This window comes from Homo sapiens, chromosome 12, assembly GCF_000001405.40.
Source record: "Homo sapiens chromosome 12, GRCh38.p14 Primary Assembly".
NCBI classification, from domain to species: domain Eukaryota; kingdom Metazoa; phylum Chordata; class Mammalia; order Primates; family Hominidae; genus Homo; species Homo sapiens.
Window position 1 is genome coordinate 47,759,892 of NC_000012.12, and position 27,712 is coordinate 47,787,603.

Here is a 27,712-nt window from a genome sequence, read left to right on the forward strand (position 1 = left end):
GCCTATACCCCAATTTTGGGATGCCAAGCCCGCATCCTCCACCATGATTATTTTCTTGAAAGTGAGGAGAAGACTGGGAAGAGGTAGCTCTAAGAAGCCTATACTCCCAATTTTGGGATGCCAAGCCCCCATCCTCCACCAATTATTATTTTCTTGAAAGTGGGGAGAGAAATTTTAATTGTGATTAAAATCCCATTTTTAATGTATACATGTATAAAAAATGTTTCCCAGAAGCTTACTAAAATGCAGGCTCCGTCCCCAGCAATTCATATTCAATCCTATTGGCATGAAATGGAAAATCTGTATTTGGAACAAACACCCCAGGTCATCTGCTGTGTCCACACATTAAGAAACGCTGGTGGAGTTTTAAATGCCTCTCCGGGGAAGGAGGAAAGCCTGAGAATGAATCTGACCTCAGACCCAAATCCATTCAACGGAGTTCTGGTAATTTGGAAGAAGGAAGAGCAACCTGGAAACTGACAGGAAAGGATGACAAGTTGGGAGTCACAGGTATGCATGGGGAAGAGTTAGGGGGATGGAGTCATGAGTTTCGGGTTGCTGGGGCCAGTGCCCTGGCCTAGAAGTTCTTGCAGGAAGGCTTCCTGAGACTGGCAGTTGGGTCACAAAGGGGTCCCCTATTTCCTATTCTTGCTGCCCTTACTCTGGGCAGGTGGAAGATGCTGGGGAGTGAGGCAGGACACTTGTATACATTTCAGCAGAGCTACAAAATCTAATCATGTGCGGGCACTCTTTCAAGTGCTTTCCATGTGTTTAATCCCTGCCACGATCCTGTGAGGTATGTACTTCTGTTATCCTCACGTCACAGATGGGGAAACTGAGGCTCAGGGATATTAAGGAAATTGCCAAAGTCACACAGCTAGTAAATGGTGGAGCTGGGGCATGAATCCAGGTTGTCTGTCTCCACGTACTCACCATGGTATACTGCGTATACTCTGTATGTATTCTATTCTTCTAATGTAGACTAGACTGCCTAGGAGAGTCTACTCAAAAAAGGAAAATTGAGGCCGGGTGCGATGGCTCACGCCTGTAATCCCAACACCTTGGGAGGCTGAGGTGGGGGTGAATCATGAGGTCAGGAGTTCAAGACTAGCCTGACCAACATGGTGAAACCCTGTCTCTACTAAAAATACAAAAATTAGCCAGGCGTGGTGGCGTGCGCCTGGAATCCCAGCTACTCAGGAGGCTGAGGCAGGAGAATTCTTTCAACCCGGGAGGCGAAGGTTGCAGTGAGTCAAGATCATGCCACTGAACTCCAGCCTGGGCGACAGAGCGAAACTCCATCTCAAAAAAAAAAAAAAAAGGCAGGGGGGAAATCGAATATGTTTGTGTTGAGGTGTGGGGGAGCCTCAGGGAGCCAAGGATCACTCAAATCGGTGAAAATGAAACTGTCCCAACCCACTCCCCCACCTATGTTCCCCTTCAACACTACTCTTGCCTTTCTTTTTTCCATTTCTTTTTCATTCCCCCTCTCTGGGGAGATTGAGAAGAGGACCTGGGGTGATTACCTATTGGCTCCTAGCCTGGGGAGATCATAGGGAGTAGATCTTTTATGTGTCCCATTTCTAGCTTGTCCTACCTCTAACAGGCAAGGCCCCCAGCCTGCCATCAAAGCAGATGACGGGGCAGGTTTTTGCCTTCTCAGGATCCCTGGATGGGGACCCGACAGTAGAATTACTGCTCAGCAGATATTTGATCAAGGCTGAGGCCTAGAAGGGGCAGAGGACTGGGAATGTGTCTGAGGAACACATGCAAGCAAGATGGTAACAATCATGCCATGTCCTGGTACCGCCTCCACCCTCCTCTGACTGTCATTAAATGCTTGGCAGGTGTGTTAAGACAGATAAATAATAATAAGAATAGTCAACATGCACCAGGCCCTGTTCTTGATACTTTGTATATATTCACTGACTGAATTGTCACAACAACCCTATGAGATAAGGTTGTTATTTTTGTTATTCCATTTTACAGATGAGGGACCTGAGACACAAAGAGGTTAAATGACTTGCCCAAGGTCCCATACTAGGAAGTGGTAGAGCCATGAGTGACTCTGCCCAGGTGGTTTCTACCCTGTGTGCTTTACCACTCTGCAGTCCTGCCTCTGAAACATACTGACAGCTCCTATAAAGGGGGAAAAACTCATATCCACAGCCATTTGCCCACACCTTGGTACAGATGATGGAAACTAAACAGCAGGACCCCTTAATACACTCTACTCGGACAATGAGCTCCTGCCAGAGCATGGACTTACTTGAACCCTCCCCCATTCCCTTCAAGCAGGTGGCAGCGGCTCCCATGGATAGCTCAGGAGGGTGGGAAGGTGAAGGGGGCTTCTCAGACCAGGCTTTGACTCTGGGCTTGATTTTCCCCACCTCGGCCTCTTTGCTGAGCTCTACACAAGGTGAGCCCATAGTTTCCTGGGTCTTCACAGGAACCTCATACTCCCTTCCTGCCCCAGGAGGCCTCTCCTCCTGCTCTGCCTCTCTCAGCTCCCTGTTCCCAAACTCCACTACTGCCTAAGTGAGGAGCCTGATACCCTACATTCCTCATTCTCCCACATCCAGCCAGCCACCAAGTCGGCTTGATTCAACCAGTGAAGCATCTCTTGCATCTCTCTGTTATGCCCCATCCCCACTGCAACTGTTCTAGCCCAATAATGGTCTCTTCCAGTATTTACTATTTGCAGAATACTATGTTAGTCACTTTATATACATCTTTTTATCCTCAGAACAATTCCTATTTGCGAGTGAGGAAACTGAGTCACAGGGAGACGAAGTAACTTTCCCAAGGTCACACAGTTAATAAGTAGTACAGCCAGACTCAGGCAGTCTAACTGCAGAGTCCATATTCCTAAACACCATTGTGCACTGCTACCTCCTGCCCCGATTGCTACTCTCAACCTTGCCTCGCTCAGTCCTTACTATGCAATGCCACAAGAATATTCAAGGAATCTTGAATTCATTCAACAACATTTACTGTAGGTGCCGGGGAACTTTGCTGTAAACTGGAGAGCTCAAACTGAGCAGCAGACACTGTCCCAAATCTTCAGGGCCCCAGAGCCTATTGGAATTATCTTTTATCTCCCTAATACAATAATCTGATTGGCTCTCCCTCCCCAGCACAGTGTCTGGCATGAAGCTGATGCTTAATGATTACGGGTGGAAATGAAATGAACAGGAACAGTGGGCAGTCAGCTGGTGCCTGCTATGGGCCTGTAGCCTCAGCAGGGTGGAAGGGAGAGGAGCTAGTTTCCCAGTTCAATTTCAAGGCCTTTCATGCCATCTCTCCCTCCTTCCTGGCTGCCTTCTTGTCTCCTACTCATGTCTCCTCTATCCTGTGCTGTCAGCTTTGTTCACAAGGCTCAGCCGTGACATTTGAGGGTGATTGGTGGGATGGAGAGAGGGAGGATGGAGGAAAATTTCACTAATAGGCCTCCCATGGGACTGCAGCAAATGGCCAGCTTGGAGGCCAGCTGGGAGATAAAGCTGTAGGGGATATAAGGGCTGTGCCAGGACCTTGGCCTGTGGCTGAGCCTCCCACAATACCCCTAGGAGTCGACCTTGCCTGTGGTTGGTCAACAGTGGGAAGAGATTGAGCAGAGAGGCAGGTATCCTCCTCTGGACTCTACCTCCTGGCTCTGCATGGTTTAAGGCCCTCTGACTCTTGCCCCCGCTCCATCCCCCAAGGGCAGTTCCAGTTCAGCTCCTCCATCTCCTCCCTTGCCCATTCCTGGGGTGGGGGGCAGCGGCAGGGAGCTGGAGCCTTAATGGGCCCCAAGCCAAACCTTCCTAGGACTAACAGGTCACAACCAGTCACTCATGAGCCACTTATGACAGTGATGGGAGGGAGAGGAGGGATGGGCTCCTGCCTCCTGTAGGAGGCCAATGTGGGCAAGCTGGGGCTCACAGTCAGGGCTGGGAGCTGCAGGAAGTTGCAGAGGTGAAAGCAGGAACCCCACACTCTCCTGGAGGCACATTCCTCTGGCTGGTGCTCAAGCTAGCCATGCATGGCGGAGATGAGGAAACAGTCGCTGAACAGACCTGAGGTGGTGATGCTGGGCTGGAGGGTAGGGACAGGGTGAGAGAAGCCAGAAGAGCAGGCGAAGACGGGCAGGGCTGGAGAGGTCCCTAGAAGGGAGGGAAGCAGCCTGCCTCCCGGCAAGTTTACTGTTACAGGAATGTATAGAAACGAGTAACTGCTTTCTCCCCCAACTTCTGCTTCTCAAGGAGAGAGAGAGCATGTGTGTGTATGTGTGTGTGTGTGTGTCTTGTGTGGGTCCCAGGAGACACTGCATCTGACCTTGAGTGATCAGTGTTCTGCAATGGCTGCCCCATTCCAGTTGTGGCCACTTTCCCTAAGAGTCACTTTTCTCCTCACCCCTGTATTCTGTTCTGAGGCTGAACACCCACACTACCTACTACCTCCCACCACTCCCCTCTTTGCAACTTTCCCCACCTTCCCAAAACCTTTGTCTTAAGTGCTCCCATCTTCCAACTCATCCCAGGCCCAGGCCTCTGTTCAGGACTCAAACCCTGTGCCCACTTTGTCCTTTTGTTTCAGAGTCTTGGTAGGGGCGACTGCAGGAGCCTGAAAGAGGGGTCCTAGCAGGGCCCTGTTCCCTGCTTAGGAGATGCCCAGTTCTGTCTCTCAGACCTGGTCAGTCAGGCTGGATCCAGAGCACTGGCTGGGGCAGGGGGAGGATGTGGGTAACCAGGAAAGCAGGCTAGGGCTAAGGTCCCCTTCCCAGCATCAGAGCAGAGCCATCCCACCCCCAAATCCCACTCTGGAAGTACTGGGGTCAGAGAAGAAACCGAATAGGCCAAAGTTTTCCTGGCATCAGATCTACTGCCCATTTCCTCCCTTCAGAAAGAACTTGGTAAGAAATTAGACCAGGTGCGGTGGCTCACGCCGGTAATCCCAGCACTTTGGGAGGCCAAGGCGGGTGGATCACGAGGTCAAGAGATCGAGACCATCCTGGCCAACATGGTGAAACCCCATCTCTACTACAGATACAAAAATTAGCTGGGCATGGTGGTGTGTGCCTATAGTCCAAGCTACTCGGGAGGCTGAGGCAGGAGAATCGCTTAAACCTGGAAGGCGGAGGTTGCAGTGAGTCAAGATCGCACCACTGCACTCCAGCCTGGGCAACAGAGTGAGACTCTGTCTCAAAAAAAAAAAAAAAAAAAAAAAAAAAAAAAAAAAAAAATTAGGGGAGGGTACAAAGAAGAGGGTCTGGAGAGAGAAACAGAAAAGTGGGATCCAGAGAGAGAAACAGAAAAGTGGGATCCAGAGAGAGAAACAGAAAAGTGGGGTCCACAGAGGGAAACAGAAAAGTGGGGAAGGAAACAGAAAAGTGGGGTCCAGAGAAGGAAACAGAAGTAAGGGAAAGTCTGCAGTTCTGCCTGAGAGAGGGCACAGGCCCCCCTCAGGCCTTGCGGGGGATAGAGAGGCAGCCCCACTGCTCTGCCTTCCCACCCCTCAGCCTCAGCCCCTCCTGCTTTAGCCGCTTTGCCTGCTTTGCCTCTGGTGGAAGTGCAGAGCCTGGTCCGTGAGCTCTGCCTAACACACTGCAGGGCTGGACCGAATCCTGACTTAATCTCCCCAACTGCTTCAGTTCTCCCCAAGCCCAGCCTCCTGGGGCCTCAGCTGAGGGTGCCTGCTGGGCCCTGGGGGCCAGGCAAAGTGGCAGCTTCTGGCCTGTCACTGCCCCTGAGTCTGGCTCTGCACCCACCTCAGGGCCTGGCCTGTGTCAGACTTCCCCTGCAGGGCATCATTTCTCTGCCACATGCCTGGCACTCACCACACTGAAATCAAAGCATTGCATAAGTATTGCATGCTGCCTCCTCCAGGAGAATGTTAGCTGCCGGAGGGTGAGAGCTGCTCTGCTGTACTCAAAAATGCGTGCCTTGCGTGGTCAGTGCCTTATACAGAGAAGACCCTCAGGAGAGGTTTCCTGCATTAATAGTAACCAAGTTTCTCCCCCTCCTGCCATGGCTTTTTCTCACCTCCCTCTTAGCTTCCCAAGATCTGTCTTTCCCTCCTGGGGCCTGTCCACCCAGTTCTTGACCAATTGCCATTCCTCCCGCTGTCTTACTCCATCTCTTGTCCAACCCTTCCTCTTCCAAGAAGTATCATGAGATGTGGCCACTCAAGTCTCTCTAGGGTGCCATTCTTGGGGCCCCTGCTCTGGACTAAGCACAGGTAAGAGCCTTATTTCTAGTCTTTTCCTTCACCCAGTGCCCATTCAGCTGGACTAGAGGGGGACCCACGTGCACTGATGAAGGCTCCATGGTGACTTTCTCATTCAGTAAAGCCAGTTCTCAAACTCAGATCTGAAGGGCAAATATTGATGAACCCCTCTGCCAGGCTTTTCCCTTGGGGAAGAGCTAATGCCCTCCCCTCCTGCCCTCAAGCCTTATTATTCTCTCACTCCTCACAGTGCTGCAACCTGCCCTTCTCCTGCCCCTGGCAGCTTCCAAGGAGTCAAGGAAGTCAGTCAGCCCCATTTGTCCCCAGGCCCAAGTCCCTGTGGAGGTGAATTGCAGGCTTTATCCACCCCGCCCTCCCCATCCAGCAACAGCTCCCTCAGTAAAAGGTGAAAGAGAATCAGATCAGGTATCTGTGATTGCGGGTTCAGGTTAGGAGATGGAGATCGCTAGAGAACACCAAGATAGGGAGGCAGGCCTGGGCCCTAGCTCCTTCATGCTGCTCTCCCCAGGCAGCTGCACCTGTGATCCCCCTCCCCTCCCCCTGACCCCCCAGGCCACCTGCCTCTGATGCTTTCTTAGCTCCTGAGTTCAAAGACCTGCTGTTTCCACTCAACATCTTCTCACTTGCCATCCTGCCCTCTGCAGAGACCTCTAGGCTGTCAGTGGGCAGGCAGAGGAAATGGGGTCTCAGCAAGAAGCCAGACTCTGAGCAGTTTCACTCTAGCCCTGAGAATTGAGGTGAACCCCTTCTAAAGGGGCAGAAGGCAGCCCTAGCCCTGGGGAGCTGCATTCTGGGTCCAAGGTAGCCCTTAGAGTTGAGTCCTCCCTGCAACCTCCTAGAATGCATGGTGATGGGGCCAGCTCCTCCTTGCAGCCAGCCACCTGCTGCTGCTGTCTAGGACAGCCCTTTCTGCTCTGTGGTCTACAAGCCTGACCTCAGGAGGAAGGCGAAGCTGCAGGAGGGGGGCCTGGGTGGGGTAGAATGGGGAGAGGGAAGGAATCTACCTCTGTGTCAGGCACAGCCTCGGGTTGCCACAGCCAGGGTCCTCAGCTGTGAACTCCACAAGGGCTGGGGTGGGGGGGTGGAGGGGCGGCAAGGGGACCACATAAGGTCTAGGGAGAATCCTGTGGAACTCACTACCTAGGTACACAAGCTACCAGTCCAACCTGCAAAGCTGTCTGTTCAGGCACAAGGTTGGGGAAGGCTGCCCCCTAGAGCCAGGGTCAAAGAATTATTTATGGACATTCAGCCCTTTTCATATGTATTGAATATTTATTGAGTTCCTACCTAGGCACCTGGCGTTATACTAGCCACTGGGAATACAGAAGTGATCAAGGCAGACATAAAGTGAATAACTATCATAGTTTGCCCTATATTGAGGGGTTTTCTGGGACGTGGAACTTTTTGTGGTAAAACTGGAAGAGTCCCCAATGAATCAGGACGAGTCAGTTACCCTGCCTTCCTGGAGATTATATTCCAATAGGGACAGCAGGAGTAGGGGTGGAAAGTAAAAATACAATTTTTTGTCATGATAAGTGCTGTGGAGGAAATAAAACAGAGCGAGGAATCCTCTGAGGAGGTAACATTTGAGCTGAGACTTGAATGATGAGGGATCAATCTTATAAACACTCAGAGAAGAGCTTTCCGGGCACAAAGCACAAAAAACCTGGGACAGGAACAAGTGTGGCACGTTTGAGAAACAGAAAGGCGAATGTGTCTGAAGTAAAATGAGCAAGGGTGAGTAAGGCTGGTTGGAGCTGGCAAGACCCCAATCAATTTACTCTAAGAGCTATGGAAGCTACTGGAGTGATTGAAGCAGGGGAGTACCATGTTCTGGTTGTTATTTTTATTTATTTATTTAAATTTTTTTTTTCTTGAGACGGAGTCTCACTCTGTTGCCCAGGCTGGAGTTGAGTGGTGCGATCTTGGCTCACTGCAACCTCCACCTCCCAGGTTCAAGTGATTCTCCTGCCTCAGCCTCCCAAGTAGCTGGTATTACAGGCACGTGCCACCACGCCTGGTTAATTTTTGTATTTTTAGTAGAGATGGGTTTTGCCATGTTGGCCAGGCTGGCCTCGAACTCCTGACCTCAAGTGATCCACCCACCTCAGCCTCCCAAAGTGCTGGGATTACAGCCGTGAACCACTGCACCCGGCCATGGCTATTATTTTTAAAAGATTGCTCCAGCTGCTTGGTGGAGAGAGGATTAGAGGGGGAAAGACGAACAGAGGAGGACCAGTTAGGAGGCTGCTGCAGGTAGGTAGGTGGTGATGATGGTGGCTGGACTAGGGTGGCAGAGGGAATGGAGAGAGAGGACAGGGCAAATCCAACTGTATTTTGTAATGAATTTGTTGTAGGAGCAGAGGAAAGGGAGGACTCAGAGATAACACCTAGGTTTGGGTCTGAGCCACAGTAAACAAAGACATGCCCCAGGGACATCAGAGGTCTCTCTGCATGGGGATTAACAGGAGAGGAGGAAGCCCTGACATGTCCAATAAACTCAATCATCTGGAAGATAGCTCAGTAGGTGTATCCTTGACCCAGCATTGTGGGAGAAGATATGTCTGGAATGTGTATATCTGCGGGGAGTGAGAAAGGAATGTCAGCAGTCAGGATGTCTGCAGATGGGGAATTAGAAATCTGTCTTAGTGTTGGTGGGACCCAGTTCAAAAGAGACTTCAGAAGGATTGATGGTTTAGACGGGTAATCTATATAGGACCTGTTTAGATGAACTTCAGTGGAATGAGGGATGATGTATTAGGATAATAAGGTTAGCTGTAACAAGCAACTGAGCTGTAACAAAGCCACTGACACTTCTCACTCATATTCTATAGTCCAGTGAGGGTCTAGGGGACAGGGGTAGCTCTGCTCCATCCATTCATTCAAGCCTAGGTTCTTTCCATTATGTGGTACATATGGCCTCTAAAATTGTCACAGAATGGGAAGAGGGAATGCAGGTTGTATGGAAGATTTTTAAATGAGCCCAGCCTAGAAATGGCGCACATTGCTTCTGCCTTCATTCCATTGTTCAGAACCTGATCCCATGGCATCCGTTTGACTGCAAGGAAGCTGGGAAGTGTAGTTCAAATTTGGGAGGTACTGTGCCCAGAAAGAGACACACAAATGTTGGTGTGTGTTGTGGAGCACTAGTAGTTTCTGGCGCAGGCAGGGAGAATGGCTGTGCATCTTGTAGGGGTCGTAGTAGTGTCTGTCCTGGGCTGGGTTGGGAGTGTACTCTCTGAGAATACCTTGGAAGGAAGCTGATATGAGAAGATGTGTATGAGTGGTGCACACCCATGTGCTTTATGGCTCAACAATCATTCCATTCTTTCCCATTCTCAAGGTCTTTCACTGGATAAGATCTTAATTCTCTCACACCTTACCACTGAAATAACCTTGTGAATGCTTTATCCTCTACAATTTTCCCCCATCAAATCTAACTGGATATTATAGTCTAACTAATCTTCCTAAGACTTGGCGTATGTCATGCAATCCCTGTTCAATAAAAACAATAACAATTTCAACAGCAGCAGCAATAATTTGTTGAATTACTGTGTTGAGCACTTTGAGTGTATTATCTCAATATATCTCGATCTTTGTAACAAGCCTGTGATGTTTCATCATCATTCCCTGTGTACAGATGGAGGGACAGGAGTCCTGGGTCTAGCTGTGCTAACACAGTAGCCACTAGTCATGTGCAGCTACTTAAATTAATTAAATTAAATTTAAATTAATTTAAATTAAATACACTAAACTTAAATACATTAAATTTAAATTAATTTAAATTAAATACAATTAAAAATTCAGTTCTTCAGTCACACTAGTCACATATCAAGTATTCAATAGCCACCTGTGATTAGTGGCCACCATTATGGAGGGTGCAGATATGGAATATTTTCTTCCAGGCAGAAAGTCAATTGGATTGGACATCTGTGAGTTAGGGGCACTTGCCCAGGGTCACAGCAAATGGTGAAGCTAGGCCTCTGACCCCACCTGAGTCTAATGCTCTGCAATAGCTCTTCATTGTTTCCACAATTTAAAAAATGTTTAAGCCTGGCCTTAGCCTTGTACAACCTGGTCTAGTACTACTGTTACATAATTATTTCTCTTTCTTTTCTTGCGCAATCTCACTTTCCAGCACAGCAAGCTTGCTCACTGCTCTCCCATACTCCTAATATGTCCACTCATAATATTTTTGCTCTCCTCCTTCTGTCTGCTCAGCTAATGAATTCTCCCCTGACCTTTAGGTTCAGATAGCTGAAATAGCTCTTGAAGCAGTTTCGTCTCTTCCATTCTCTCTGCTTCTGCCTGGACCAGCTCTGAAGCCCCTCATCCTCTCTTGCCATGGCAGCCTTCTGCTGCTACTAATTCTACTTCCTGACATTTATTGAGTATCTACCATGTGCTAGGCACTCTTCCAGGCACTCCTCATCACAACACTTTGAAGTAGGTGTTACTGCAGTCTCCATTTTAAAGACCTGGTAATTAAAGCACTGTGGGGTGAAATTTGTCCAACTCATCTCTCTGCTTCTAGTGTTTCACAGGCAGTTCGCCTTCACTCTATTACTCTGGCCATAGTTCTAAAACACAGAATTGTGAGTTTTCTCCCCCAGCCCCAAGGGGAGGGGGACAGCCTTCTTAACAGAGCATGCAAGGCCCTTTATGTTCAGAACCTTTCTAATCTCCAAACCCGCTACTCTACCTTCAAACTTGACATTCCAGCCACAAACGACTTACAGTTTCCCAAAGCGGCCGCTTTATTTCTTCCCTCTGCGCCATCACACGTGCGGTTCCCACTGCCTGGAGTACTGTCCATCCTGGCCAGCTCTGAAGCCATCCATGGAAATGCACTCCGGACCACGGGGCTTGCTCCCTCCTCCACAGGACCAGCACTCACTCTCCACCGGCAGCTCCTAAAGGAGGGCTGCTGCTGAGCTCACAGCCTTGACATCACTTCTCATTAAAATACACACTCCAAGATTCAAAATTTAATAGGCAGGGGTGGGGCTGGGTTTATTTTTTTATTTTTAAAGAAGCTCCCAGATTATTCTAGAGTGAGGCAAATGTGCTTAACACTGGTTTACATCCCTTGTTTGGCAGTTAAGCACACCCTGTCTAGATTCCTTGTGTATAATTGCTTTTGTTTTTATTTTATTCTTACCTTCATTCACTCACACTCACCTATTCAACAAACATTTATTAAGGGGTCATTATATGCCAGACATGCTTTTAGATGTTGATGTGAACAAAACTGGCACTGTCCCTGCTCATGAAGTTTATGTTCCAGAGGGGGTGTGGTGGGTGGGATAATAATGGCCCCCAAAGATGTCCACGTCCTCATCCCAGAACCTATGAATATGTCACCTTCCACGGCAAAGGGATTTATTTTGCTGATGTGATAAAATTAAGGATCTTGCGATGGGGAGATTATCCTGGACTATCCCCTCAATCACAGGGGTCCTTAGAAGGGAAAAGGAGGAAGAGGGAGTTAAGGCATGTGGGTAGCCTCACTCTAGAAGCTGGAAAAGGCGGCCGGGCACGGTGGGCTCACACCTGTAATCCCAGCACTTTGGGAGGCTGAGGTGGGCGGATCACCTGAGGTCAGGAGTTCGAGACCAGCCTGGCCAACATGGTGAAACCCCATCTTTACTAAAAATACAAAAATTAGCTGGGTGTGGTGGTGGAAGCGTGTAATCCCAACTTCTCGGGAGGCTGATGCAGGAGAATCACCTGAACCCAGGAGGCAGAGATTGCAGTGAGCTGAGATCACGCCACTGCACTCTAGCCTGGGTGACAGAGCAAGACTCCGTCTCAAAAAAAAAAAAAAAGTCAAGGAAACTGATTTTCCCCTAGAGCCTCCAGAAACAAGGCAACCCTGATGTCCCCTTGATTTTAGCCCAGTGAGACCATTATTTGGATTCCTGACCTACAGAACTGTAAAATAATAATAAGTTTGTGTTATTTTAAATCAGTAAATTTGTGGTAATTTGTTACGGCAGCACACACACAAAAAAAACTAATGCAAGGGGTATTGGTTATGTTTTGTGCAGGTATATGATGGGCCTCCCCATGTGGATCCTTAGTGCTGTGGCAGAGCCCTTGTTATTGTGCTGGGATTTTCCCTCCAGCTCCCGGCCGGAAGCTGGGCTCACGTGGGAGCTCAGTGCCCTCCTGCTACAGATCTGTCTCTTCCTTACAATGGTATGATCCCGAGGGTCAGGGTGAGGGGTTTGGGAGGATAAGGCTTGTGCTGATAAAAGGAAAGGTGAGGTCCGTTGCAGTGGCTCAAGCCTGTAATTCCAGCGCTTTGGGAGGCCGAGGTGGGAAGACAGCTTGAGGCCAGGAGTTGGGGACCAGCCTGGGCAATATAGCGAGACCCTATCTCTACAAAAAATAAATAACAAAAAATACTAGCCAGGCGTGGTGGCACACACCTGTAGTCCTGGCTGCTTGGAAGGCTGAGGTGAGAGCATTGCTTGAATCCAGGTGTTGGAGGATGCGGAGCTATGATGGCGCCACTGTACTCCTGCCCGGGCAACAGAGTGAGACTCTGTTTAAAAAAAAAAAAGTAGGGATTTGTGGGGAGCTGTGCGTGAGGATAGAATGTATAGAATGTTTGCAGTCAGAAGGTGATGGTCGCAGGGGTTCCCAGACTTTAGTGTGTGGAGAAATCCTCTGCGATATGGTGGGAGGGAACCTGGTTGATAGAAGGACGGGCGGAAGGAATTCTATTCACAGCGTACTCTAATATTTCTTAAGTTTTACCTATTAATTTTTAACAAGAAATTTTAATTTTAATTTTAAACGAAAATACGCATCGTACTCAGAGGTAAAGATTTTTAATCCTCGCGGTTCGCTCGTATAAAGGCATATTTCCGGTCCCTTCCAAGGTCCAACAATCCGGACACGGCGGGTCTGGGGATGGGCCCAGGAATCCGCCTTTTTAGCAGCATTCCCCCAAACGACACGGCAGCTTCGCAAAGCGGCGGTGGCGTCTGCGGTTCCGGGCGCGGGCGGCCTCCGGCCGGGGAGGGCGCTGTGCGGGCGGCGCTGGGGGCGGGCCGGGGGCGGAGCGCGGGGCGCCGGCTGCTCTGGCGGCTCCCGCGGCTCCGGCTGGCGGCTTCGGGCCCTGCACCTGTGACTCTCGGCCGCGCTCGCCCTCGGCCCGCCCGGCGCCGCAGCCCCATGGCCCCGTCCAGGCTGCAGCTCGGCCTCCGCGCCGCCTACTCCGGCATCAGCTCCGTGGCCGGCTTCTCCATCTTCCTCGTCTGGACGGTGGTCTACCGACAGCCGGGGACCGCGGCCATGGGAGGGCTCGCAGGTACCCCGGGACGCTGGGCGGCGCGGGGCGGGTGCGCGGCTGCGGGGCGGGCGCCGTCAGCTGCTCCAGGACGCTCCCCGCGAGCGGCGCTTCCCCGCGGAGCGGGTGGAGTGTTTACTCGAAAACAGCGGTTGGCGGCGGCAGGCCCCACGCGGGCCCGGGCTCCTGGGCATTCCTGGGTGCCTCTGAGACCCGATGCCCGCCCGGGCGCCACCTGGGGGTGCCGACGGCCCGCCACTGCCGGCTGCACAGACCTGCCGCGCCGCCCGGGTTATCTGTCACGGCACACTGCCTGTCGCCCTCCGCCCAGTTGCCCCACGACAGTGTCCCCTCCGCGCGCCCGCGGCGCTGGTCGCCTCCTATCCCCAAACACACACACACACACACACGCACACACACACGGTTGTTCTGAGGGATCCCCTGCCCCCCAGGCGCCCCTTCCCTGGGTGCTGGGTGAGGGCAGAGAGGGAAGAAGTGGGAAAGGAAGAGGGCTAGGGGTGGCTGGGGAAGCCCATCTCCCTCCTTCCAGAGGGCTCCCCCGCAGAGCCCTCTGCTGAGACCCACAGGGAGGACGGCGTTAGGGATCTCATAGAAACTGGACATTCTCTTTCCACCCATGTTGGTGCCTTTTTGCTACCCGTCTGCTGTGGCTCCTCAGCCAAGCTCTGCCAAATCCTGCAGGCCAGCCGCCCTTTCTGTGCTTCTGGGAGGGAAGGGGAAGCATCGGTGCGCTGATGGGGGCTCTGGGCTGACCAGTGCTCCTTGTTGTGCACATTTGGGCTCGCAGTTTAACCTCTCTGCGCCATAGAATTGGTATGAAGATGAAAAATATTATCTCTACTTTCTAACATTTTAAAAAATGCTTTCTATGTGTCAGGCACTATGTTAAGCAACCTGCTTCCCTTATTTCATTTAATCCTTACATTAGTCTCATGAAGTAGGCCTTACGATTATGTCCATTTTACAGATAAGGAAACTGAGGCCTGAAGTTAAATAAATTGCTTACCCGGGATTACACAGCTACATGAAATAATATGTGTGGGAAAGGACTTTGGGAAGAAAATACGTATAATACTTTTACATATGATGATTATATTCCATTACTAAAATCCTCGGCCAAAAGAACCCTAAATGGAATAACTAAAAATAACTAATTTACTCACTGCCACAGGGAGTGCTGAGTGCCATCCCTGGGTAGAGTCGCAGCATGAGGTGGGGTTAATGCCTTAGAAGAGGGGCATACAGGGCCCCACCCTACACAATGCCAACAAAGCACTGGGTCACCAAGAAGGGGGGATGGGCACCCTGGCTAGGGTGTTCTCTGCCTGCCCAGCTGCCTCACCACCTGTGGGATCCTGAGGACAACTGGCCCATCTCTGCGCGTTATCTACAGAGCCCTAGTTCCTTTCCCCACTGCACCCCGCCACCCTCCATGTTTGTCAAGGTTCACTTCTCCCTGCCACTTTTTTGTTTCCTATTGGCCCTGTTGCTTTCCCCTCTGGAAGGCGGCGTCAGAGCCCTATGATTGCATTGCGAAGACCGAAGGCAAGAGAAGGATGAGCAGGGAGGGCCAGCCTGGGATCTCAGCTGGTTGTGTTGAGTCTGGCCTGGTACAAGTGGAGGTGAACCCTACCTGGCCGTTTGACCCTATCCTGGGCCACAGTTTCCTCATCTATTAGGAGTGGGAGGAGATGTCCCCAAAAGACATCTGACTTCCCTCCAGATCTGAAATCTTGCAGTGCTGCCCACTCCCTGAGTCTCCAGCTGCCTCCTAGAGGGCTGTGGAAAAGGCCTTCTTTCTTATACTCTAGGGAGTTGCCTGGGGTTTTCTTCCGACCCAACTCTGCCCTCTCTCCCTCCCCACAGGCTTCCCTTGGCCTATGAGGCAGGCCAGCTGTGGAGCTGCCTTCAGAGAGAGGCGCTAGGGCAGCAGCTCGCTAGGGCAGCAGCTCGCTAGGGCAGCAGCCAGCTGGAGTAGGGTCCTGGTATCTCCCTGATGGTCTGATCTTTGACAGTGGCTGTGGAAGAGCCAAAACTGCTTGGTAGTGGTGGTGGTGGATGGTGGCAGGGAGAGGGGTTGCCAAGCCTGGGCCTCCGACCTTCCCCACCATGAGTGAGTTCTCAGAGGGTCTGTGGCCAGTCAACCTTCTTCCTCTTTTGGGGGTAAAGTGTCAGCAGATTAACTAACGTGTGAGCACCCTACTTCTGACTCAGCGTTTTATAGCTCAGAATCTGCTGAGTCACCCAAGGGTAGCCCCAGCATGCTCCTTCTCCTGTGTTGGACCAGGCAAGGACTGATTGGATGTGCCAGTTTCTGGAGCAGAGTCATGGAGCCCCTGGGTCTGGTGGGCAGAGTGTTCACGGGTGGGGATACCCTCTCCCATCCTGATGGGTACCTTCGAAGAAGTGGCTTTGGAGAAAGGCAGTGGCAGAAGCAAGACTGGCTTTCCTGGGGAGGCGGGCAGGTGTGGGTTGGATCTACCTGGTCTGGCTTTGCTGTGGGAGTCCTGGGGGAAAACACAAACTCTTGCTCTGGGTTTAGTAGACCAAGGAAAGAGAAAAAGAAAAGTTGCTCCTGAAGTCTAAACAGCTCTATGTTTTTCCCAGGTGAGCTGTGAGCAAGAGCCCTGGGGCTCCAGGACTGTCTTCCTCCTAGGAAGGAATAGAGGGGCCTGACCTAGGCCCAGTGTCCTTCTTGTCTGCATTTACCCTGTGGGATCCCCCGGGTGTCTCCTGTCTCCTCACCTCCAGCCCAGCCACTGGGGATGCTTTCACCGCCCTACCCTATGCCTTCCTTACCCTTAGCTTATCGGCTGTGAGCCAATAAGCTCACATGGCTAAGCAGGGGCTCTGCTCCTTGAAACAGGTAGGATGGAGCAACGGTGTGGTCTGGTGTGGGCTTGCAGCCAGGTGGGATTGGGGACCTGTCCATTCCACCCCGAGTTTTATAAACCAGGCTTCCTAGAGTCCCCAAGTGTGCCAGGGAAGGGTATTAGGGAGATACATTGCCTCCTGCCTGATGTGTGGGAGGGGACCAGTGAGGGGCTCCATCTCCTTCAGTGACCCCCTTGGGTAGGGCTGGTGGAGAGCTCCCTTCCCAGGAGGGTGGTGGGAGCCAGGGCGTGGGCAGCAGGCCTGCCTCCACACTTGATGTGTGTTTATCTGGAGGGGAGGCCTCTGTGCAGGGCCTGGAGCAAGGTTGAGGGAAGGTGAGAGGTGGGTAAACCATGCCTGTTGTTAACAAAGAACAGGGCCCAAAACGCCCCCAAATGGCTGTCTTCCTCTCCCTCCTGCCCTCAGCCCTCTTTGGTATGTGCATGTACATGGGGGTGGGAGTTTTGGGGAACCACTGGATCGTGGCCAGTGGACTAAGAGATGGCATCTTCACAGGCCCCTATTTCAGCATTTCCTAACCCAGAAACTGCTGAGTCACAGAGGAATTGTTCTGACCTTATTTTTCTCCCAAGCTGGCTTCTAGAATCTTTGAGTGGGAAAGGATCTTAGAGCTCAACTTCCCCAACCCCTCTGTGGCACGAGGAGACAGAGGGCGAGGGGACCTGTTCCAGACAGGTGCCCATCAGACTGCTCCTTGAGTGTGCTCAGTGACAACACCCCTTGTTCCCAGGGCCCTTTATAAACCAAACAGCTCCCTCAAATGAAAACATGGGACACATGTGAGGAGTGGGAGGGACTTCTGTGAAAGGTGGCTGGTATAAAAATCCAGATCTTGTAGGAGGTAAGAGGAAGCTGCAGGATGATTGTCCTGTCCACCTCTGGCCCACTCCAGCATCCAGACTAGGTGGGGAGGAACAGATGCTTGTCCTGGCCCACCCTGATCTCAGTAGGAGGGGGACCCACATTCCAGGCCCCCACCCCCTGAGGAAGAGTGGAGGTGGGCAGGGGCAAAGCTGGGAGAGTGTTCAGGGGGTCAAACGGTGGCAGGGGCTGAGGGAAGCTGTAGGCTTGGTAGGCCTTCACCCTCACTAGGGTAGAACCCTGGGCCCAGTTACCTAAACTGGCAGGACCCCTGGGCCCACCCATTTTTAGATGTGGAAACACCAAGGCTTTGGGACACAGCAGTGCCAGGCTCCTGGTTTCTTGGCTTGGAGTCTCATGGGTTTTTGTTCCTCACTGGACTGTCTGGGGACAGCCAAACTGGGACAGCCTCTGAGCTGGTAACCAGAGCATAGCTCCACAGTGACAAGCTTCCTCCTGCCTTTTTCCCCCTTAAACAAATTATGAAATATTTTAGGCACACAAAAAAGGATAGATGATTTAACAAACACCCTTATAACCCAGCCTGAGAAAACAGCGTAGATAAAATAGCATAGATTTCCCACCCAGCCTAAGAAACAAAATAGCATAGATTCCCATAGATTCAAAGCACTTCCCCACCCCCACCGCCCCATCAACTTCCCTTCCTTGTCTCCATTGCCAGAGATAACCACTTTCCCCAACCAGATGCTTATCCTTCCTGTGCACATTTGGTAACTACTCTGAGTGGCATGTGTGCAGCTGCCTTTTGGAAAGGCCTCCTGACTCCTAGGATGCAGCGGCCTGAGTGGCCCACACCTTGCAACCCAACCAGCTGAGAGCCTGCAGCTGGCTCTGCCTCCTTCCTCATTTGTCCCTTGCCGGGATCCACCGCCCTGCCCGGACCCTTGCCAATGGAGTTGATATTTGTTCCACTCTTTGGGCTGCACCAGCAGGCACTGCCTGGCACAGAGGGTTGTTTTGTATTGTATTGGCTGGGTGGCAGCTGGCATCCTAGAGGAAGTGTCCACCCAGGCGCAGAGGCCAGGCCCAGGAAAAGCTGGGGGCAGTGGGGGTGGGGAGCGGTGCAGGTGGTGATGGCCTGCCCTTTGCCGCAAAATGGAGGGAGTGGCATGAGGTCTGGCCAAGAACAATAAGGCCACTCAGGGGTTGGGTGGCCCTGGAGTCTTCATGGCTGGACCTCCTCATCCTGCAAAACCAACTCAGGCAGTTTGGGAAGAGCCCTGCAGGCCTTGTGACTTTGAGACTGTGGCCTCTGAGGGCTGGGTGGAGGAGGAGCATGGGGCAGGAGCATGGCTTCCCTGCTCTGTGGCCCTCAGGGTAGACAGTGGCAAGTCCCCAGAAAGCAGGCTGGGCTGCTGAGGCACAGACTTTCTGGTTTTCAGGATCCTTTTATCCTCTTGAAAAGTAGTGAAACTCCATGCAAATTTTATGTATGTGAGTTTTAGCTATTGATATATACTATATTAGAAGTTAGAACATTTTTTAGCATTTTAAAGTAATACTAAAAATAACATGAATTAACATAACATTTTTGTGAGAGATATTCATGTTTTCCAAAACAAAATAAAATCAGAGAGAATGGTAGGGTTTTGTATTTCTGCAGGTTTCTCTAATGTTGGGCTTACTAGCAGGCAGCTCAGTCTCTTACCTGCTTCTGATATCACAGCCTCCGAAAAGGAAAACTCCATTCTATGAGGGAATGAGAGACAAGACCATATTCTTGGTATTCTTATGCAAATAGGCCTGGTCTAGTGGATCTGCAGGGCTCTGGAGCACCCTGGGGATGGGCCCTGATGTGTCTCTCCTGCAGGGGTGCTGGCACTGTGGGTCCTGGTGACGCACGTGATGTACATGCAAGATTATTGGAGGACCTGGCTCAAGGGGCTGCGCGGCTTCTTCTTCGTGGGCGTCCTCTTCTCGGCCGTCTCCATCGCTGCCTTCTGCACCTTCCTCGTGCTGGCCATCACCCGGCATCAGAGTGAGGGCGGGTCCCAGGGAAAGAGGGCATGGGAGGGACAGCAGCGGGGATTTTAGCAGCATTCCCATCCTGGTTCCACAGGTTACCTCCAAAGAGACTGGGTGAATTACTTAACCTCCCCGGACACGGGTTTTGTTATGGTTCATGTGGAGAAAACAAGTCCCCACCTCGCAAGTTGGGTGGATTCTATGAAACTGATGTGAAGTCTTGAGCAGTGCATAGCCCATACAAGCACTCCTGATATTGGGACCCATTAGTCTGTGCTCAGCTCTGGGATGGGAGCGCCCTCTGGTGGCTGTGGCTGGAAATAACCAGAGGTCCTTCTTCCGGGAGTCTGATGCTAACTAAAGCAGGTTGGAGGTGGCCTAGGGTATTTGTCACAAAAGCGGAGTGGATGATACAGACCTGTGATTGGCCAGCCCTGCCCTTCCCTAATCCCCACGGCCTCCTGCCTGAAAACCCTGGAATACTCTAAAACGGTCCCCAGCTCCGTTCTACTGTTCCAGGCTGTGGAACAGTAGTGGTCCGTGGCCTGTTAGGAACCAGGCCACACAGCAGGTGAGGGGCAAGCGAGCCTTACCGCCTGAGCTCTGCCTCCTGTCAGGTCAGCGGCGGGCATTAGAAGCGCAAACCCTGTTGTGAGGCGCATGCGAGGGTTGCGTGCCCCTGATGATCTAATGTTTGACGATCTGAGGTGGAACAGTTTCATCCCCAAACCATCCCAAGGTTTTTGTGGAAAAATTGTCTTCCACAAAACCAGTCCCTGGTGCCAAAAAGGTTGGGGACCATGGCTCTAAAACCTCCATCACAGTGTCTTTCTGAAGGGTTGGTTCAGCTGCCAGGACGTTGCAGGGATGTTGAGTGGGGAGGGTGGCCCTGGCCTTGTGGCCGGTGCAGAGGCCGAGGGCAGGGCCTGCCAAAGTCACTGTCGGTACTTCTCTCCCTGCAGGCCTCACAGACCCCACCAGCTACTACCTCTCCAGCGTCTGGAGCTTCATTTCCTTCAAGTGGGCCTTCCTGCTCAGCCTCTATGCCCACCGCTACCGGGCTGACTTTGCTGACATCAGCATCCTCAGCGATTTCTGACCCAGGGGGTGAGGTCTCTGCACCCTGGGGGGGCCTTAGGACCTGGACTCAGCCTCTGAGATGTTGGGAGAGGCTACTCCCACCCCCTGGTGACCCCAGAACTGTGGCAGAAAATACACAGCAGGACGAGTGTGGTCTCCCAGGAAGCTGTCCTGCCCGTCCCCTTTCGAGGAAACCTGAGTGTGGTAGAGAGGGGATCCTGCCATGTTGCTCCTCATCAGCCTGGCCAGAGGGCAGCTTTAGACCTTTTCAAATGAATCTGTTTTCTTTTCTTTCTTTTTTTTTTCTTTTTTTTTTTTTTTTGAGATGGAGTCTTACTCTGTCACCCAGGCTGGAGTGCAGTAGTGCGATCTCAGCTCACTGCAACCTCCGCCTCCCAGGTTCAAGCAATTCTCCTGCCTTGGCCTCTCAAGTAGCTGGGATTACAGGCATCTGCCACCATGCCCGGCAAATTTTTGTGTTTTTAGTAGAGACAGGGTTTTGCCATGTTGGCCAGGCTGGTCTCGAACTCCTGATCTCAGGTGATTCACCCGCCTCAGCCTTCCAAAGTGCTGGGATTATAGGTGTGAGCCACCGTGCCCGGCCTGGATCTGTTTTCTTAGCACGCAGTGAGGAATCTTTGTACTTAAGGCCAGGGCAACAAAGTCAAGAGGTCAAGGTGTAGGGCCATGAGGCCTGGACCTATGCTGCAGGCAAGGGTTTCCATCCCCGCTGCCCTAGGCACTCTCTTCCCAAGGCCAGGTTGGGCACCTGGGGAGGTCAGTTCAGAAATATCTAGCAGAGACCTCTTAAACCCCCATCCCAGCACCCCATCCTGTTGTTCCCAGAGCTGGTCTCCCATGAGTGTGCTAGAGCCAGATAGCCGTGGCCCCCCACCCATCTCACTCACACACACAGGCATCCATACACCCCAGAAGACTTCCCAAATGAGGCCAGACTCAGGGTCACGGGGAATGTGCTTCTGCCCCTGTAAGGGCTTTGGGGAAGGGGGCAACATAGTAGAGGCTGGAAAGAGCCCCCAAACCTGTACCCATGCCCCTCCAGCCCTGCGTTTCCATTCTGCCTTCTCAGAGTGCCCTTGCTGCACCCAGACCACCGGCCAGGAGAGACCTTCTCTCCCACTCCAGCCCCTCTCACTGCCCTTCAACTAGAGCTTTCACCTTTTTACATTTCCCTTCTGAAGGACACAAATCTGCTTTTCTGCCCATACACTGGCCCAAGGGCTCACCTAACTTGGGAGGGAAGGGGCTGTTGGTACAAGGATGATTTTCTGTTAGACTGCCATTTTGCACGGTCTCCCCCTTCCCATCTGATGTGTCCTGCCCCTCAGCTCTTTGCCTTATCTGTGTCACTGTCACTTTAGCAAAAATACAGCGGCCATTTGTATCAGCCTCTGGTGGTTGCTTGTGAGGTGGGACTCTTGCGGGAACAGGTGGACTTTGGGAGGAGTGGGCAGGGAGGGAGTGGTAGTGGCAGTTCTCGAGCTATCTGATTAAGCCATTCCGCTAGTTCAGTTGTGCCCTGGAGGGCAGGGGACAGAGTCAGTATCTCTGGGGCTGCAGGCCCTCTTGCCTTGGCCCTCCTGGCATGGGGTAACCACCAGCTCAGCTCTCCTCCTCCAGCTTTCCTCTCTCTAGCACACCCCAGCCAGGGCAAGGATGCCCACGGGCATAGCTACAGCAACCCCTGCGGGATTTGGTGTCCACACCCGAGAGGCCAGGCCAGATGGGAAAGGGATTAGCGCCTCTTCCCTCACACTCTGCCAGGCTGCCAGGAGCTTGGGCCAGGTCTAAGGTAATGAGGTGCTCCTCTTCCTGCTGGAAAAACCGGACAGACTCAGAACCACAAAGGCAGGTGCTGCCAGCCTGGCGCCTTCCTCTCTGCTTAGGCTGGGTGAGCTTGTCCAGGCCTGTGCCTCACCCCTTCTCTCTTCTAGGCTCAGTGTATGCTTAATCAGGCATGGTGCATCAGAGCGGGAAGGAGCCATCAACAGTGTATACTTCTGGAGCCTTCTACTGATAAACAGAGGCCCCAGAAGACGATTTGACTTACCTGAGCTCCCAGCTGGGACTTAAACCCAGGTGTGTCTGAGTCACAACTCTTCGGGGATGCCGTGGTGAGCTGGGGCTGAGCTCCTGTATTCCCACTCCCCCACCCCACCCCCACTCCTGCCATATCAGGGCTGGTCTCTGTGGACTCAGCCCAGGGCTGCCTCCTCTTTGTCACCCCAAAGTGGGGCAGCCAGGGACAGCCAGGGTGTGTTCAGAATGGGTTCTTCCTGCAGGGCAGGAAGGGCAGATTGTTAAAGGGGCTGCGGCCCAGACCACCCTGGTCCCTCCTCCGGCAGTGACTCAGACCCACACTGTGCCGTGCAGCTGTGTGCCCTGCACACCCGCTTGACGGCGCACTGCTCACTTCTGGGGGGCCCTTTCAGAGGCACTTTTAAAGCAAATAAAACATTTATTGTTCAGATTTTTTTCCATTTTCTTCCTTTTTACAAAAACATGCATACATACACAGGGTATGGTGGGTCCTAGGAAAGACACACACACACGCCTCACTCACACACACGCTCACACACACGCCTCACTCACACACATGCTCACACACATTTTCCTTCTTGACCCCAGGCCTGGACCCCCAAAAGCCTTGAAGACTTTGCCAGAGCAGCCTCCCCTCCTCCATGTCTGTATCTTCTCTCCCACCCCTTCCCCCTCAGTCAGGCTACTCCTATGTGGGGTGGGAATCAGAGCTATGGTGGGGGAGGCCCCAGAAACAGAGAAGGCTCCCCGAGTGGGCAGTGGCCGAGGGGTCCCAGGGGTATGCTGCGCTTCTTGGGGAGATGAAGGGTTTGGCACCATTGGATCAGGAAGCACAGGACTCCCAGAGCACCCATCTGCTCCACCAGGGCATCGCCAGGAGGTTGATGTAGGGGGGCCTCTGGCGAGGGTACGGACCAGATGGAGGGCTGCCAGTCTCGGCTGTCAGGGAGCTTCGTCTCAGTGCCCAGTGGTAGAGGGAAGCTTCCAGAGTCGTCTGAGGAAGCAGGTGAGAGGGACTACCCCTGCACTCAGGAATATGGGACCTCTTGGCTCCCCACTCCCCCCTAGCCCCTAGAGCCTAGGAAGGGCCAGCCTGTCTGAGGCCAAGTTCACATTTCTGTGTGGAGCCTGAGGCTGTGTGCAAAGTCTGGGGTTTGCAGAGCCAGGAATAGTGGTTAAGGGTGAGCCCGACGGAGCCGGAGCCAGTCCTCCTCTGTGCAGTCCTGAGGAATGGGGGCCACAGCCAGGGCCCATACTGGAGGGGAGAATCTGTTCTCGAGAGCCCTGTGGGGGTCGCCGCCCAGCCCGTCTCCTCTCAGGGTCCTCTCCAGTTCCCATTCTAGACCCAGGGATTTTCTCACGCTCCCTGGGATAACTGTCAAAGCAGGCAGGCTGTTCTCTGGTTCCAACTACTTGCCCACAGGATCTCTAAAGACCCAGGAATGGGGGCTATTGCCAGGGGTTAGAAGAGAACCAGGTCCCAAGGGCATGGTGGGCGGGCAGATGGTTCCAGAGCCTTAGAGATTCATAGGTTCTTCCTCCTCCACCAGCTGCTCCGAGGGCCTGTGGGGAGGGACAAGGGTGGGATGCTGGAGCACCAGGGCTGCAGCAAGGGCCTTAGCTAAGCTTCCTCTCAACCCTGGTCAGGAAGCCTGGGAGGGTTGGGGTGGCTGCATAGCGGACCCGGGGTCTTCAAGCAGGGAGGAATGAAGCGGTGGAGAGGCTGTGGGCCCAGGGCCAGGGGTCTGGCATTACCTATCTTCAGCCAGGATGCCCACAGAGAGGGACGCCAGTGCGGTCACTGCCTCCACTTCTTCTTTGTCAGCCCCTGGCACTCTAGGCACCCAGGAGTCTGGACAGGAGGCCAGGCGCTGCATGCAGCCCCAGTATTTACCTGGGGTAAGATGCCAGGTCAGAAAGGGTTGGAGAAAGCAAGCCCCTCCACACTGCGTCCTAGACCGGATATTGAGGTTGGTGTCTCAGGCCCAGGGCCCCGGAGGAGCGGGCCTGTCCTCCACTTAGGGTCGGCTCTCCCACCTGCCCCTCTCCTCACTTCGCTCCCACTCCCGCACAGCCTGACAGGGTACACAGAGTGGGTTCAACATGGCTGTGAGGGAGTCCTAGCAGGTGCCCAGCCTTTCTCTCATCCCCTGTGGCTGCAAGGCCACCTTTGACTCATTCCCCACAGGTGCGGGGCTCCTGAGAGCATCAGGAGAGCCTGCTTGCCTGCAGACAGGGTCTGTGTCACAGTGACCTCCCAGAGCCCCAAGCTCGGGCCTCCCACTTAAACACAGCCCCCACCAGTGCTCAGCCCAGCACTCAGGAAAGGAGGGCCTGGGAGGTGGGACGAACACAACATGGGAGAACTGACCATCACCACGGCCGCTCTGCATGGGTGCCCAGGCCAGGAGAATGCTCCTCCTGCCTGCTGCTGTGAGGAACCATGTCCTGGAATCTGGCTCAGTGTGAGGGCACCCACCGTAAGAGGAATCAGCCATGTCTTTACCATTATGTAAAGACATCACGGCTCCCCTACCCAGCCCTTGATATGGGAATCTATTTTACTCATTTTTATCCCTAGTATAGATTATGGGTCTTGACATAAGATGCTCAATAGATGTTGAGTTGAAGTTGAAAATTTAAAGTACTTTACAAATGTGGGGGTTATCCCAAGACGCAGCCCCCAAGCCAGCAGAGCTCCTGAGACGCCTGTGGCCAGGACTGAGGGGAGGGATGGGAACCAGGCCTTTTGGCAAACAAGGCCTGAGTGTTGCTCTTGACCTGGCCCTGGTCTAGGGCTGTCGCTAGAGATGGAGGCCAGTCCCTACCTTGAGGGGCCACTGTCTGGTAGGCCCTGCTGGCTCCATCGGGGGGGCTCAGAGGATAACCCCTCACTGGGGGGTGCTCACCATTGCTGCCTGGGTCACTCACAGGAATCTTACTCCAGACCAACAGCAGGTCACCTGGCTGGCACCGGAAGCCCTAGGATCTGGCCACGGTGGGGCAGGGTACCACCAAGATCCTTCAGTCTGAGCTCAGCGAGTGTCCCATCTCCACACTTACTGTGCACCCGGATCACGGCCTCCAGAGAGCGGATGGCATTGAGGTTGGGTTTCTGTTTCCAGCCTTCTTCTGAAAGGGGATCCACCTATAGAAAACAGTACATCAGCCACCAGTCTCTCAGGGACCCACAGGCCCAGCTCACTCCCACCCCAGGGGCCCCAGCCTTCTAGCCACAAGCACACTCTACCTAGGCCAGGAGATGCTGCCTGGACCTAACTTGGAACAGAGGCTTCCGCTTCGCCTACCTTGTTTCAGGCTTGGCCACTCCCACCCTGTCCCATCCCATCTGCCTGCTCCTTGGGTAGTCCTGAGAGCCGGGCTTACCTGCCTGACAGAAGCATGGATGGGGGAGGGAGACGGCTCACCCTGTTACCCAGAAGAGCAGCCACACAGGCCTCAGAGGCGTCACAGATGGCTGTGAGGTCATGGCCACCCTCCAAGGCCAGCACCACTGCGCCTCCTGCCAGGTTCATCAGTTGCTGCGTCATGTATCCAAAACCTAGAGGTTGGGAGGGGAGAAATGGGAGGGGCGGGAGTGGAGAGGTGACCCTGTTCTCTACCCCTGTGGCTTCCCTGCTTGCTTCCTCCCTAATAAAGAATGACTCACATGTATCAATCACTATTTCCAAAGTGCTTTCACATTGAATGTCGTACAAAACCTACTAGTATGCTTCACTCAAGGCTCAGGGAGGTTAAGGGCCTTGGGAAAGGCCCCACAGCTAGTAAGTGGCAGCAAGGTAGGACCTGAACTTGGGTCATTGACTCTAGCCTGTGTCTTTTTCACTGAGCTACACCCTCTCTTCTTTCTGTACTCTGGGCCCTGTGGCCACCCTCTATTCTGAGAGTGCTGCTTCTCTCTCCCCTTCCTCTGGAGGAGCTGCCAGCCCACCTGGAATCAACCCAGCTGTGGTGGGGAGTCCCACGGCTGAGCTTCCTGCCTACTGGACTTAAGTCCCCATGGGTATGACCTGGTCAAGCCCTCCGTGGTGAACCGGCCTGGTCCTGAGAAAGGGCTTGGGCTGTGCTCGGCTAGGAGATCCCGGGGAATTTCAGGACCAGCTGCCATACTCCAGTCCTCAGGCTGAAAGCCCTGGGCTGGCCACTGCCACCTTCCCTTTCTGACTTGGGAGTGCCTCCCAACTCCCCGCACCGCCTGGCTCTCTGTCCCTAACGTCCCCCTCAGCTGAGGCTCCCTTACATTTGGCAGAAACATGGTAGCCACCCAGTGGGGCCGGGTGACCCTCAGCAGCATCAAATCCAGCAGACACCAGGACTAGGTCTGGAGAGAACTCTCGGGCGATGGGCATCACGACTATCCTGTGAGGTCACAAGAAGTGGCGATCATCGTACTGTGCAGGGTTGCCAGGGGCGGTCCTGCCAACTTTGCGGTGGGGCACCCTGTTCTTAGGACTCCAAGGCTCCCAGTGCCCCAGCACAACTGGCAGATTTCTCTGACCTCCTTGACCTTGGCTGGCCACCCATGTCCCTGGCACACACAGCCTAAGGACTCAGCCCCCTAGGGGACTTAACTAGCAAGAGGCAGAAAGGAGCCAAGGATGGAGCACCAGAGGGAATGAAAGAGGAGTGTGTGTGACCATGTGTGTGTGCATGTGTGTGTGTGCATGCAAGCATCTGTGGGGTGCAGTGGCCGGAGCCACAGGGAAAGGGTAATCTCACAGCCTTGCGGAGATGGACTCTGGTCACAAAGCTTCAGGGACTACAAGTGCTCAGTCCTTTGGACTGAGTTGACCACACCCAGCTACTCACTACTTGAGAGCTGAGTAGGGGACAACTAGGTCCTCTGAGGTTCTGCGCCACCTGGCTACATTCTCTCATCCTCTCCCTCTTCCAGGCCCCCCCCCAGCTGCCTTCCTCTACCCCTGATCCAACTCTGGGGCCTGCTTGGGTGTTCTTCATAGCCCTGGGCTCTGAGAAGACTCCAGGAACTCCAGCCCAGGGCTCTCGTAGAATTAGCTGTCATGGAGATAACTCCAGAAAAGTGTTTGAAGATCCATTTCCAGAATTCTCTTTTCCCAAATAGAGTGGCAGCCTTCTCTGACTAAATGTGCCAGCTCTGCTCACTCCACCACCCACCTGCCAGCAATCAGTTTGACATTGGCTCTCGGTAATGTATGCCTTTGCAAAGCACCCTTTGACTTTTGCATTCTTCTCTCTGTTTGTCCTATTCTCACTGGCGTTCACCTACAATGTCTAGGA

At 53.0% G+C, this 27,712-nt stretch overlaps 2 protein-coding genes across 20 annotated transcripts in view, besides 5 other annotated features; one reads left to right on the plus strand and one right to left on the minus strand.

Moving 5' to 3' along the window:
* The window catches only part of SLC48A1 (solute carrier family 48 member 1), a 28,818-nt gene extending 5,958 nt beyond the window's left edge, over positions 1–22,860 (plus strand). The window contains exons 3-6 of one of the 4 annotated variants that reach the window (XM_047429134.1): positions 325–510; positions 19,137–19,304; positions 20,254–20,398; positions 22,327–22,860. In XM_047429134.1, coding sequence (XP_047285090.1) covers positions 325–510; positions 19,137–19,304; positions 20,254–20,390 — 491 coding nt within the window. In that variant the 3' untranslated portion in view covers positions 20,391–20,398; positions 22,327–22,860. Of the gene's footprint in view, positions 1–324; positions 511–13,346; positions 13,550–19,136; positions 19,305–20,253 lie in introns of those variants that run through there. The other 3 variants (XM_017019617.3, XM_005269016.4, NM_017842.3) reach the window with 3 other exon arrangements.
* Positions 13,213–13,822: a silencer, noted in NCBI's record as "silent region_4397". NCBI's record gives its function as "represses an Ori minimal core promoter by ATAC-STARR-seq in GM12878 lymphoblastoid cells {active_cell/tissue: GM12878}" and the evidence as "EXISTENCE:reporter gene assay evidence [ECO:0000049][PMID:35858748]".
* Positions 13,213–14,074: a biological region, named in NCBI's record as "H3K4me1 hESC enhancer GRCh37_chr12:48167242-48167748".
* Positions 13,568–14,074: an enhancer, noted in NCBI's record as "H3K4me1 hESC enhancer chr12:48167242-48167748 (GRCh37/hg19 assembly coordinates)". NCBI's record gives its function as "activates a minimal SCP1, AML or CMV promoter by ChIP-STARR-seq in naive and primed H9 embryonic stem cells {active_cell/tissue: H9 hESC(naive and primed)}" and the evidence as "EXISTENCE:reporter gene assay evidence [ECO:0000049][PMID:30033119]".
* Positions 14,075–14,579: an enhancer, noted in NCBI's record as "H3K4me1 hESC enhancer chr12:48167749-48168253 (GRCh37/hg19 assembly coordinates)". NCBI's record gives its function as "activates a minimal SCP1, AML or CMV promoter by ChIP-STARR-seq in naive H9 embryonic stem cells {active_cell/tissue: H9 hESC(naive)}" and the evidence as "EXISTENCE:reporter gene assay evidence [ECO:0000049][PMID:30033119]".
* Positions 19,645–19,694: a silencer, noted in NCBI's record as "silent region_4398". NCBI's record gives its function as "represses an Ori minimal core promoter by ATAC-STARR-seq in GM12878 lymphoblastoid cells {active_cell/tissue: GM12878}" and the evidence as "EXISTENCE:reporter gene assay evidence [ECO:0000049][PMID:35858748]".
* HDAC7 (histone deacetylase 7) overlaps positions 22,831–27,712 on the minus strand; it is a 38,623-nt gene continuing 33,741 nt past the window's right edge. For all 16 annotated transcript variants that reach the window (NR_160435.1, NR_160436.1, XM_047428980.1 and 13 more), the window contains 5 exons: positions 26,694–26,812; positions 25,861–25,994; positions 25,496–25,580; positions 24,188–24,326; positions 22,831–23,995 (listed from right to left, as the gene is read on the minus strand). Coding sequence is in view for 14 of the 16 variants with exons in the window: in XM_047428980.1 (XP_047284936.1) it covers positions 23,950–23,995; positions 24,188–24,326; positions 25,496–25,580; positions 25,861–25,994; positions 26,694–26,812 (523 nt within the window). In the remaining 2 variants the exon portion in view is untranslated. The remainder of the gene's footprint in view (positions 23,996–24,187; positions 24,327–25,495; positions 25,581–25,860; positions 25,995–26,693; positions 26,813–27,712) is intronic.